Source organism: Homo sapiens, chromosome 9, assembly GCF_000001405.40.
Source record: "Homo sapiens chromosome 9, GRCh38.p14 Primary Assembly".
Taxonomy (NCBI): Eukaryota; Metazoa; Chordata; class Mammalia; order Primates; family Hominidae; genus Homo; species Homo sapiens.
The window spans coordinates 3,569,817-3,583,779 of NC_000009.12; the positions used below are offsets into that span (position 1 = coordinate 3,569,817).

Sequence of the window (13,963 nt, forward strand, 5' to 3'; positions counted from 1 at the left end):
CAGAATTTCTGCTGTCTTGCCCAAGAGTGAGATTCTCACTGCAAATGTGGGAAGGCTTCTATTTATACCCACAGTCCTATATTCACATCCTTTCATCTAAATCTAGTTGACTAAAGAATATTGGCTTGCAGTGGGCTCTAAATTCAAATCCATTACTTAATCCTTAAAAATCAGAAGATGTCATGTAATGCATGAAAGATCTGCATGAAGATCTGCCAGAGCCCTAATCTGGTACAGCCGAGTAATAACTCCATGGGCTCTACAAATGGCCATTGTATCAGCCAATTCCTATTACCTCCTAGACCCTGAGACTGAGTGTCCAGTGCCACAGATCATCTTAAAGGGGCTTGTCTCACTTGTTTACAGTTACCTCCTTGGCCTCTATGAATATTTGAGTTTGTAACTCCTGTTTTAAATCCTTAAAATGCAAAAGATCCACTTTACACCCCTTAGGTTGGCTACTGTCAAACAAACAAACAAAAAACACAGAAGATGTGTTGGCAAGGATGGAGAAATTGCCACCCTTGTGCACTGCTAGTGGGAATGTAAAATGGTGCAGCCTAGCCACTATGGAAACAGTTTGGCAGTTCCTCAAAAAATTAAAAATAGAATTACCCTATGATCCAGCAATTCCACTTCTGGCTATATATGCAAAAGAATTAAAAGCAAGAACTTGAGCAGATATCTGTACACCCATGTTTATAACAGCATTATTTACAGTAGCTAAAATGTGAGAGCAACCCAAGGGTCCATTGACAGATGAATGGATAAACAAAATGTGGTATATATATATTATATTATAATTCTATATTAGAATTAATATATTATTATATTAGAATATATATATATATTAGAATTCTGACACATGCTACAACATGGATAAACCTTGAAGATACTATGCTAAGTGAAATAAGCCAGTCATGAAAGGATAAATATTGTTTGATTCCACTTGTATGAGATAACTAGAGTAGTCAAATTCATAGAAACAGAAGGTAGAATGGTGGTTGTCAGTAGCTAGAAGAAGGTGGAAATAGGGAATTATTGTTTAATTGGTACAGACTTTCAATTTTGCAAGATGAAAAAAGTTCTGAAAATGGATGGTGGTGATGGTTGCACAACAATTTGAGTGTATTAATGCCACTGTACTGTACACTTAAAATGGTGAAGATGTTAAATTTTATGTTATGTGTATTTTAGCACAATTTCAAAGAATACAAAAGATCACCTCCTTAGGATTTCTGTTCCTTTCTTGAAAAGAATGGAGTTACATCTGGACTATCCCACTTACTAACTGTATGATCTCAGACCACACATTCTCTCAATTAAAAAAATGCATTTATCTACCTATATGGTAATTTTTTTTAGTGAGAATTAAATGAGTTTCTATAGTTTAGTGACCTGTAAATGGTAAGCCACATTCCAGGTAGGGAATAAATGTCATGTGAGTGCCACACGTGAGTGAAAAATTTGCCTGGAGCTGTGATGACTTCCAGTGAGCATCATAAGGGAGGCTTTTATGAAGAACCTAGCATTTGGGCTGAGCTTCAGAGAATGGTCAGAATTTGAAATGTGCAGATACAGGGGGATATTTAAAGCACACGGAGAGGCATGTGTGTAAAGGGACTGAAGCAGACAAATAAATGGTGTATTTGAGCAAATAATCATGTTCGACCGGAGGATCAGGTGAAAAAGGTAGACCAACAGGAAGGGGCCAGATCATGAAAAGTCTTGAATGGTTGCCTAAGAAATTTGAACTTTGATTTAGTGGATAATGAGAAGCCATTGTTTTTTAAGCAGAAGGTTTAGTGGAGCTTTATAAGTATTACTGAAGAGGTATACAGAATAGATTGAAATACAGATAGACTGAAACAAAGGAAACTAATTAAAAGGCTCCGGAAATGTTCTAGTCATGAGCTAATCAGGACTACACTAAGATGCTGGCAGAAGAAATAAAAAGAAAAGGATACAAGTCCTAATGCCAAATCAGTAAGAAAGTCTTAGAACTCTTTGATACCTTACAGTTGATGGAAGGCCTGTAGTAATTTTAAATCTCTCTAACAGGTGCTTCCAAAAAGTAGCTTACATATCCAGCCCACACTTCTATTCCAGGCTTCAGAATCATGCATCCTTCTGCCTTTTGGATATTGTCAACTGAATGTTCTCCAGGTCTCTTAAATTAAAGATGTTCATTCTTGAACTTATAAATCTTTTTATTTTCCAGCTTTCTGATTTTTAAAAGAAATAACACATACGCTCTTTTCTGTTATTAAAAAAGTAACATTTTTTTGCTGAACATTTAGAAACATCATCACAGTGCAGAAACTAAAACAAAACTTAATATTAATTCTACCCCCAAAACATATATATATGTGTGTGTATGTGTATTTATTTGATAAATATATTTGGTAAACATATTTAAAGTCTTTTATACATATAATTAACTTCGAAAATAAAAATTAGCATTGAATTCTTCATGCTATTTTGTAACTTAAAAAAAAAATGTTGTGACCTACTATTATTGTCAAATGATACATCAAGACCATTCTCCCCATCTCTGTCATTAACCCTATGATCTTAAGTAAACCCATCTCCAGTGTTCTTAACTCTGGAATGGGTATGCTAATACATAACTCACTGCATTGCTATAAGGCAGTGGTTCCTAAACTTTGCTGCATATTAGAATCACCTGGAGAGCTATTTAAGAACCCCAAAGTTCAGGTCACAATTCAGAGTCTGGGCATAAGAACTAGACATGAATGACTTTTGTCTCTTTAGGTGATTCCAATATACAGCAAAGTAAGGGAACCAAATTTCTAAGGTTTAAAATGAGATAACATAAAAACCTGGCATGCAGAAGTCACTCAATAATACATGTCATTTCCTGAATGTCTGCTATGTTCCCACACTGCACTAGCATTCTGTATTCATTACTTCATTTAACTCTCACCACATCCCTATGAGGTTTCATTATTCTATTTTTACAAAGTAGAGAATTGAATCTTAGATTGATTAAGAAATTTACTCAATGTCACACAGGTAAGGAAGCATGATTCAAACCCCAGTCTACCAGATCAAAAAGTCCACACCATTTTACCACACTGCATTAGACTACAGAAATATTACTTTTTAATTTTTTCTTTCTAGCTTCTTCAATCCTATCTAAGCCATTTTATCATAATGCTTTTCCAGCTGATTAAGTTGCATCTAAAGAAAAATTAAGTCGTATTTTGTGTGGTTTTTATTCCTACATTCTGAAATTTTACTAATTCACATTTTTAGCCAAAGAAAATGAGGATTGATATTTGTGGTAGAATAAAATTGTGAATGTCTATTTGATATATTATGTTAATTGAACTTAAAATATGGGTTTTATCCCTTTACCTGTAGGCTCGTTGACTATGAACAAATTAGAAGCAGTTTTATTCATGGATTACACCTAAAGCCCTATTCAGCCCTTCTTTAGATATGTAATATTTGCTATAAGAGACTCTGCATTGGCTTAAAGCAAACTAATCATCATCATCAGAAAATTAACTGCACATGTATACACATTTTACATACATATATAATTGTTTTGAAACAGACAAAATTTCTGGCTACACCATGATTATAATAAGGACTCTAATCATGACTCTGATCTAACGAGTTGTTAGTATAGTACCTCCATCTGTGGGTACTTAGGAATCCTGTCAATTTTTATCATGTAGTAAGACACAGTCAAATTATTTCCATAACTTTGGAAGTTACTCATTCCACATTTTCTTTATTATTTTTTGGCATTTGAGCCTATTTTATTCCTCTGACCAAATGTCTATATCTTGATAGCAAAAACATTTGCTTTCTTCTCATCTGACTTGATATTTTTGGAAGAACAAATTGACAATTCCCATGAATGATTCTGAGTTAGCAGGAGAGCATCTGCTGCAGAATAGCTCTTCCTCTTTTGAAGTTCACTGAGAAGCTAATTTCATTATTTTAAAAGCAAAAAAGTATTACCAGATCTGAGGTGACAGTAAAAGGAATCTAGAGTCAAAGTCTTGACCACTCACAACCAGAAACCTTAAATCATTAATATTTAGTTGGTAGATGCTAACAAATGTTATCCATAATAATAATGCACGTCCGTAAACATCACTCCTGAACTGGCCTACCTTGTATTCACTTACTTATTCGGTCTTGACATTGTCTTTTATAACTGACACTCAGGACGGGTTCTGTTTTTGAAAATATTAAGTAGCGGGAAGAGAGACATACACTTTTGCTGCATTTAAAAATGCTTTCATATTAAAATTGGTAAAATCTTTTCAAAGGGATTGTCGTTACCCACTTAGTAATGATGCCTAGGTTTATTTCTTTATTGTTCATTCTGTGAATTTTCTTAATCCAATCTGCAGCATTCCTTTAGTGGTCCATTGTTGCTACATGTGTACTTTATTGACTGAGTTTTTAAAAGATGCATCTATCATTAAAGATCTTTGGGAATATGTTCAAAAATGTTAAAATGCTGGGCGTAGTAAAATTACAAAGGCAACATAAGCCAGATTGAAAAATACCTTGCCAAATAGTATTTCTCAGCAAGCCATTTGGAGAGGCTAAATTAAAAAAAATAGTTGATACCTTGATGAAAAATATAATTTCTCCCCCCCTCCTTTTGTTAACATTAGTGTTCTTGTATCCATGCTAATTTCTATATGGCTACAATTCTAAAATATTCCTGGCATTTGTATGCAGTTGCATATAAATGTCTTTAGAGAATCAAAAGGAATTGAGAAGTTCTTAGTGACATAAATTATGTTTAGAAAATTAATTTAGAGTTCTGTTATGACCACTGGGCTCTAAAACTAGGTGCTTTTACCAAAGTAAGGTGAAGGGGGTGGATAATTTTCTTAGTGAAAAATCCAGTATCTTTCTGACTTTTCCCTTGAGGAAAAGCCATACTTCAGTGGTTGCTAACAACTACACTCCACCTTTGTGACTGCCAGAAGAGAGAACATCTTTGCCTAGTTTAGGTAACAGGATGGGTGTTGGGGTGGGGAGAAACCTGTTTAGATAGGATGGGCAGAGAATGCCTCTGAGGTAGCAAATTTAAAAACTGAGTTCTGAAGCAAGAAAATGAGCAACCAATGAGAAATGTGGTGTGGGGTGGTGGTGGAGAATTTTCCAGGCAAAAGGGAAAGCAAATAGAAAGGACCCTGGGGAAAGAGGGTCCTATATTTGAGGAATGGGCAGTATATCAGTGTGTCTACAATGAAATGGTAAAGGAAGGGGTGGTACAAGCAAGTGTGTAATGGGCAAGACACAACATTAGGGGCTTTGTAAAAATAGTAAACAGGTCAAATTTCATTTATTCAGTTTTAAGCAGAGCAGTGGCATGATTTAACTTGAGTTTTAAAAAGATTTCTCTGACTACCACTAGATTATAAATCAGAAGAGGCACGACCAATCAAAAAGCTATTAAAAAACAGAAATGACCAAAATGGATTCAAGAAGATAATTGTAGAACAAATCACAAAGTTTAAAGATTGATCGTTTTTCAAAAAGCACCAGGCACAGATGGTGTTAGAGATGAATTCTTTATAACCATTAGTGAATATATAATTATTTTCAATGTACCAATTCTAGTCTGTAGAGAAACGTGAAAACCTGAATAAAGTTAGAATAGCCTTAATTTTAAAAACTCTCAAAGATAACAAAAACAATCTTTGTACTTTTTGAAAGGAAGGTATCTATCAAGATAATCCAAAGTACCAAACATTATAGGGAAAAAATATAATTATTTTAATGATTGCCATAGATGTATTTGATAAAATTCACTAGCCATTCAAAAAAAAAAAAAAAAAAAACCTAAGTAAATTAGGAATACAAGAAAACTCCCTGGTGGATCTTGAAAGCCATACAAGGAGGTAATGTGAACAAGTTGACCCGCTGCTACAAAAAATTGGGTTCTCTAACTGTCCAGGCTGTGTTGTACCTGACGTGTACAATTTGAATGCAGTCCAATGCTAAAATCTACTCTTGACTTTTACTTCAAGACCCGACAGAGCTGGCTATACTCACCCAAAGCTGATGCTCTGAGAGCCAGTGCTTTACTCTTCCTGGCTTGGCCATGCACAGCTCCTTAGCCCAGGGACTGGGGGCATTTCCCAGGTAGTTTAGGAACAGCCTCTTCCCTTTTCCTTCCTCTAGCAGAAGGGGGTTTTCAGGGGCTTGACTAGCCAGAGTTTCTCAATCTGGGCACTATTGACATTTTGGGCCTGATACTTTGTTGTGAGGAGTGTTTATCCATTGTAGGATATTTAGTAGCATCCCTGGCCTTTATCCACTAGATGCACACACCTTCACCGCTCTCAATAGGCTCCCCCGACCACTGCCATTCAGTTGTGACAACCAAAAATTTCTCTAGACATTGCTAACTGTCCCTGAGGAACAAAATCACCTCAGTTAAGAACTGCTAGGCTAGAAAACAATGTCATAACTGTGTCATAATTTATGCTTTTATATTATTGCATTTACCAGTAAATTCTCAGCTGGGGCAGCCTGGAAAGGGAAACTGCCTGTATCAGTCAGCTCAAGCTGCCATAAAAAATACCATAGATTTGGTGGCTTAAACCACAGACGTTTATTTTCTCGTAATCCTGGAAGTTGGACGTCTGAGATCAGGAGGCTAGCATGGTCACATTCTGGTGAGGGCGCTCTTTCTGGCTGGCAGATGGCCACCTTCTTACTATGTCCTCACATAGAGGAGACAGAGAAAGCTGGTATTTTCTCCTCTTCTTACAACAGTTCCTCTTCTGGTATCTCTTCCTCTTCTTATAAGGATACCAGCTCTATCAGACAAGGTTCCATCCTTATGACCTCATTTAACCTTAATCATTTCCTTAAAAAATCTTTCTTCGATCGCGTAGGCATTAGAGCTTCAACATAATGCAGTTTGGGAGGACAAAATTCAGTTCATAGCAATGCCAACAAGATTTTAAAAAGTCCTCTACCTAAACCCAACAACTATATTATATTCAGCAGCTGCTTTAAATTTTATCAGTAACAAGAGACGGATTTCTGCTATTATCGCTATTTTTCAACACATTTTGGAGACTGATAAAGCTAGAAAATTAAAGGAGCAGTTTAAATATGAGAAATGAAAATACAGTACTATCTTTATTTGTAGTTGGTATGATTATGTACTTAAGAAATTCAAGATGTTCTGCTAAAAATCCATTCAAATTAATAAGATAATTGGGAAATGTGGCTGCCCAAATACAAAATTAATAGCTTCCCTCTCTATTAATATTATGCAATTAGAAATTGAAATGGGGAAATATCCCATTTATAATTAGAATAAAAAAGATAAATCACTTAAAATAAATCTAAGAATACAGAAGTTGGATCTAAATGATGAAAATGACATTTTATTGAAAGGTGTAAAATAAGACTAGAAAAGTGGAAGGATAATTTTTCCCATATTAATACATAAATTTATTGCAGTTCCAATCAGAATCCCAACATGTTTTTTTTTTTCCAACTGGTAAATAATTTTAAATTCATATGGAAAAAGAATGTGCAGTAACATTCCATTTAAAAAAAATTAACGGTGGACTTACCTTGTCAGATATTAAAATCACCAGGAATCTACTGTGATCAAAACACTTTGTACTAGCACGAAAATAGACAGTTTGTATACAATAAAAGCTAAAATGCATTTAGTAAGTAATAAAGCTGCCACTTTAATTTAGCAGAAAAAAAATTTTTTTTCTCTTACAAGATGTTAGCATAACTGGTTATTTATCTGAAGAAACAGAAGGATACTATGTTGGCCCAAAATATAATGTAAAAAGTTATAAGACAAACATATCAGAAAAAAATAAGAGGATTTTAAAAAGTCTTTTTTTTTTCTTTTTTTGAGGCAGAGTCTTGCTCTGTCACCCAGGCTGGTGTGCAGTGGCGCAATCTCAGCTCACTGCAAGCTCCAGCTCCTGGGTTCACGCCATTCTCCTGCCTCAGCCTCCCGAGTAGCTGGGACTACAGGGGCCCACCACCACGCCCGGCTAATTTTTTGTATTTTTTAGTAGAGATGGGGTTTCACCGTGTTAGCCAGGATGGTCTCCGTCTCCTGACCTCGTGATCCACCCGCCTCGGCCTCCCAAAGTGCTGGGATTACAGGCGTAAGCCACCACGCCAGGCCTAAAGAAGTCTTTAATCTTTTAAAGTGAGACAGTAAAGTATTGAAAACACATATAAAAAGCAGTAGTTTTGGTTATACTAAGTTAAGACATTTTTGTTTTGCTGTCTTGTTCAGGTAAGAGGTAAGATTAGTTACTATAACAGTGGCAATAGAAATAAAGAGAGGTAGAAAGACTTGATATATATTTTAAGGTGACAATTAACAGGATTTGCAGATAGATTGGATGTGGCTTTAAAAGTGGGAAGAAAGTAGGATTGGATCCAGGTTTTGTGAGATAATTTTTAAGGAAAAAATACAAAATTACACACTTCAAATTAGATACAAAAGTATTTCTTTAGAATGAGGAAACAAACCACAACAAATGACAAATTTTAAAGAGCTGCCAAATACTATAAACATTACCACATTTTAAAAAATGACATACTATTTTTAATCAATCAACTGCTTTAAATATTTTGGCAGTAAACTCTTGATATCGCCTTTTATATGACAATGATTTTATAAGATTATCTTCTAAATAAAGAATAGAAAGATAATTCAGTCTTTGGTTTAGCATGGTCAATCAAAATTTATTTTTTTATTATTGAGAATTGGGAAACAAAACACGTGACATCGCAAATAGATATACTATTTGTAGTATAGCTTTAAGCTTGTGGTCTCCATCTCAAAATTTTGATCAATTCTATTCCATACAATTTTAATCTAAGAAAGCATGGATTATTTATAATGATATATATGTTACATGATTGAGTATATTTTTGGCAAGAGAACTTTTATTTTGCCTTGGTACCATTATGTTTCTAATGCTCCAATATTGAGCTAAATAAATGCTCTGCTATTTATCTAAATAAATGCTACGTATTACACGTCTGATGATGGGAAGACTTTTCCACAGACTAACTTCTGGCTCCTTAAATTTCAAGTTTTATTTTTCCTCTCTGTATCATACTGAGTAAGATTGCTCATGCTCATATTGCAAGACAACCAAAGGCCCTGAAACTCTGTGTCACAAATCTAGATGAGTCAGCATAGTGGGTGGCTAGGAACTTTCCCAGAAGCTACTCTATAGAAGAAACAGTGGCAATAATTTCATACAGGAGTGTCTGTGGACAACATAAGTTTATCCCACTAAATCTGAACTAACATTATCCCTGGCACAACTGCCTCTTAGCTAGATCTTGAAAGTGCCTGGGGCAATGACCAGAGGAGAATGTAATGGAGGGTAAATCATAGAAAAAAAGAGGCATAGTCTTAACTAATTACACTTAAAATATGCTACTTTTGCAGATTTTACAAAAACATGTGACTATGTGAATTCATTCAGGTTCCAGGGTCCTGCAAGTGATGGGCATTGAAACCAAAGCTTCATTAATTCTTGGTAAATTCACTTCTGGTTGACAGAGGGAAGAATCGTACATCATTCCTAGGTTTCTGGCTTGAGTAACTCAAGTCAGACTCTTGTGTAAAACACTTTATTTGAGGTTTATGCCATTTACTTAGAAAACCAAGTTTTCTGGTTGGCGCCAGGAAAGAGAATCCTGCCACAGCATGCTGCCTGACCCAGGAAGCTTCTCCTCTGTGGGCCAGATACTTCTTTCTTCTATGTAGAGGCACCAGACAGTCTGATGCAGGGAAACTTTTTCTGCCCCTTCATGTAGCACCATCACTGGCATGAGATAAATCAAGCAGATGAAAATAGTACAATGAGAGCCTTGAAAATTAAATTGTAATTGGAACCACAACCTACAAAAGTAGGCAAGGATCTGCGCGCTAAACCTAAACTAGGTGACTGGCTGCTAAAATAAAGTGTTTACATAGAATCCAGAGTCTCCCAAAATAATAGCCAAAATTTTAGGCTACAATTCAAAAAAAAAAATCATCCAACACTAATAACCAGGAAAATCACAGCTAGAATGAAAAAAGACAATATACTAACACCATTCAAGATGAATCAGACATTGGAATTAACCCACAAAGATTTTAAGCTGCCATCCTAACAATGTTTCAAAAAGCAATAACAAATTCTGTTGAAACAAACGAAACAATGTAAAGTCACAGAAAAGAAACAGAAGATATAAAAAGAGAATGACATAGAAAATATAGAAGTAAAAACTTGCTGAAAGTCTCAATAGTAGGATGGAGAGATGGAGGTGACAGAGATACAATCAATAAACTTAAGGACAGATTAATATTATCTACCCAATATGAATAACACAGAGAAAATAGACCCCCCCCCAAAATAAAAACTAAACATAAGCTCAGGGAAATTTGGAAGAATAATATAAAACCCAATATTGGGTTATTAGGGGCATTTATTATATTATTGGGTTAACAGAAAAAAGAGTGGACTAAAAGAGTATTTTAAGAAAGAGTGGTTTGGCTGGGCATGGTGGCTCACACCTGTAATCCCAGCACTTTGGGAGGCCAAGGAAGGTGGATCACTTTTACCCAGGAGTTTGAGACCAGCCTGGGCAACATGGTGAAACCCCATCTCTACAAACAAAGTATAAAAATTAGCCAGCCATGGTGGTGCATGCCTGCAGTCCCAGCTACTTGGGAGGCTGAGGCGGGAGGATTGCTTGATCCTCGAAGGTCAAGGCTGCAGTGACTGGAGACTGTGCCATTGTACTCCAGCTTGGGTGACAGAGAAAAAAACAAAAGTAAGAAAAGAAATAGTGATTTGTCTCCCAAATTTGATAAAAATAAATAAAAACAAAATAAAAATTAAAAAAAAAAAACTCCTATATATTTAAGAGCCTGAGTGATGTAGTTTGGATATTTGTTCCCACCCAAATCTCATGTTGAATTGTAATCCCCAGTGCTGGAGGTGGGGCCTGGTGGGTGGTGTTTGGATCATGGGGGTGGATCCCTCATGACTTGATGCTGTCTTCACAATAGTGAGTGAGTTCTCGCAAGATCTGGTTGTTAAAAAGTGTGTGGCACCTCTCCCCACAGTCTCTCTCACTTGCGCCTCCTTTCATCATGTGACGTGCCTGTTGCCCCCTTGCTTTCTGCATTCGTTGAAAGCTCCATGAGGTTTGGCCAGAAGCTGAGCAGATGCCAGCACTATGTTTCCTGTAAAGCCTGCAGAACCTTGAGCCAATTAAATCTCTTTTCTTTACAAATTACTCAGTCTTAGATATTCCATTATAGTAATGCAAGAGTGGCCTCATACAGAAAATTGGTACCAGGACTGGGTCATCGCTATAATGATTTCTGAAAATGTGGAAGAAGCTTTGGAACTGGGCAACAAACAGAGGTTGGAAGAGTTTGGAAAGCTCAGAAAAAGCATGTAGCACCCTCCCCATCTCTCTTGCTTGTTCCTGCTCTCATCATGTGAAGTGCTTATTCCCCTTTTGCCTTCTGCCATGATTGAAAGCTCCCTGAGGTTTCACCAGAAGCCAAGCCAATGCCAGCACCATGCTTCCTTTAAAGCCTGCAGAACCTTGAGCCAATTAAACCTCTCTTCTTTATAAATTACCCAGTCTCAAGTGTTCCTTTATAGCAATGCAAGGACAGACTAATACACTGAGAAACCAAAAATAGGACAAACTGAAAGAAATCCATGCCAAGGTATATTAAATTTCTGAGAAACACACCAAAAAATCTCAAAAGAAACCAGAGAACAACAGTATGTTACCAACTGGGGAGTACCAATCTGAACGACAGTTTACTTCTTATCTGCAACCATGCTGGCCAGAAGGCTTGACACATTTTTCAAGTGCTGAAACAAAATAGTTGTCAATATTAAATTTTATATTCAGCAAAACTATCCTTCAGGAATGAAGTGAAAATAAAAACATTCTCAGATAAAAGAAAATGGAAAGAATTTGTGGCTAGCACACCTGCTCTTCAAGAATAGCTAAAGATTTTCTTCAAACAGAAAGGAAATGATAAAATAATCAATTTTGAGCATAAAGAAAAAGAAAAAGCATTGTAATGAACAGAAATATGAGTACAAGCTCACACCTGTAATCCCAGCTACTTGAGAGGCTGAGGCAAGAGCATCACTTGAGCCCAGAAGTTTGAAGCATCAGTGAGCTATGTTCACACCACCGCACTCCAACCCAGGTAACAAAGTGAGTCACCATCTCAAAAAAAAAAAAAAAAAAAACAACAACAACAACAACAAAAAAAAAACAAATGTGGGTACATACACTAGACTATCCTCATGAATTTTGTAAATCATATTCAGTGATTGAAACAAATAACACCATCATATACCCAAGACAATGCTGTTCTGAAGTGGGGAGGGTAAAGGGAACTAAACAGAAGAAAGGTTTCTACACTTGACTCAAAGTAATAATGAAATGTTGACACCAGTAGACTGTAATAAGTCACATATATATTTTTAATACCCAGATCAATTGCTATGAGAACTATACAAAGAGATAACACTTAAAAGCACTATAAATAAATCAAGATAGAGTACCAAAAAATGTTTAAGTAATCTGTAGGAAGTCATAAAAGAAAACCAGAGGAATAAGAACCACAAGAAACAAATAGAAAACAAATAATAAAATGGCAAATTGCCTTAAATGCAGATGGTCTAAATATGCCAATTAAAAATAAATAAAAAATATAACCCAGTTATTTTCTGTTTATAATAAACTCACTCAAAATTCAACAACGTAGGTTGAAAATAAAAGGTTGAAAAAATATACCATGCAGATATTAATTTTTAAAAAGCAGGAGTATCTATATTAATATCAGATAAAGCAGACATTATAGCAAAGAATATTATTACAGGCAAAGAGACACATTACATAATGATAAAATAATCAATTCTCCAGGAAGTCATAACCATCCTAATGTGCATATACCAAACAGCAGAATCTCAAAAATACATGAAATAGAAATCAAAAGAGCTGAAAGAGAAAGACAAATTCACAGTTACAGTTAGGTCTCTAACACCCATCTTGGCAAGCATAAAACTAATAGAAAATCAGCAAGGAAATAGAAGACTTGAACAATGTAATAAACTAACAAAAAATTGACATCTATAGAAGACTCTACCCAGCAAGGGCAGGATGGACATCTTTTTCAAGTGCCCATGGAACGTTTACCAAAATAGACCATTTCCTGGGCCATAAAACAAACTTCAATAATTTAAAATCATTTGAAATCATATAAAGCGTGTTCTCTGACCATAGTGGAATCAAACTAAAAATAAATAACAGAAAGACAAGAGGAACATTTCCAAACACTTGAAAATCAAACAACACACTTCTAAATAATGTATCAAAGAGTAAGTCCTGAAATAAATTATAAAATACATAAAGCTGAATGAAAAGTAAACCATACCGTATTAAAATATGTGGAGTGCTGCCAAAGCAGTGCCAAGAGGGTAATTTATAGTACTAGATGGATACAGTAGAAAAAAGACAAGTTCCCGAACCAATTATAGAAGTTCCCACCTCAGGAAATTCTAAAACTATGAGCAAAATAAACTCCAAGCAAATAGAAGGTAAAACCAACAAACAAAAAACATTGACTCCCCTTAGTTACTTTACTTCTGTTGTTACTAGGCTTAGGTTCTGTTGCCCAGCACTATATTTTCTTACAATTCTCATTGATTACTTTCCCATATCTCTTATTTTGTATATAGCCAGAAAAAACCTCTAACCTCTTTAAACAAATTAATTACTCCATATTTGTTTACAACACCTTGATATTACTGGAGAATATCACAACAGTACTGTCCAGAGTCATTTCAAAGTCCATGATCATACACCTCAAATGGTCAATTAACACGGCCAAACAAACCTACCCCAATTCTCTAGT

At 35.5% G+C, this 13,963-nt stretch overlaps 1 long non-coding RNA gene across 1 annotated transcript in view, besides 1 other annotated feature; it reads left to right on the plus strand.

Moving 5' to 3' along the window:
- Window positions 1–13,963, plus strand: part of LOC124902110 (uncharacterized) — a 112,958-nt gene that overhangs the window by 43,332 nt on the left and 55,663 nt on the right. The window lies entirely within an intron of this gene.
- Window positions 7,973–8,173: a silencer, noted in NCBI's record as "fragment chr9:3577789-3577989 (GRCh37/hg19 assembly coordinates)". NCBI's record gives its function as "represses an EF-1alpha promoter that drives an FKBP-Casp9 reporter gene in an ReSE screen in phorbol 12-myristate 13-acetate-treated (for megakaryocytic differentiation) K562 erythroleukemia cells {active_cell/tissue: K562(+PMA)}" and the evidence as "EXISTENCE:reporter gene assay evidence [ECO:0000049][PMID:32094911]".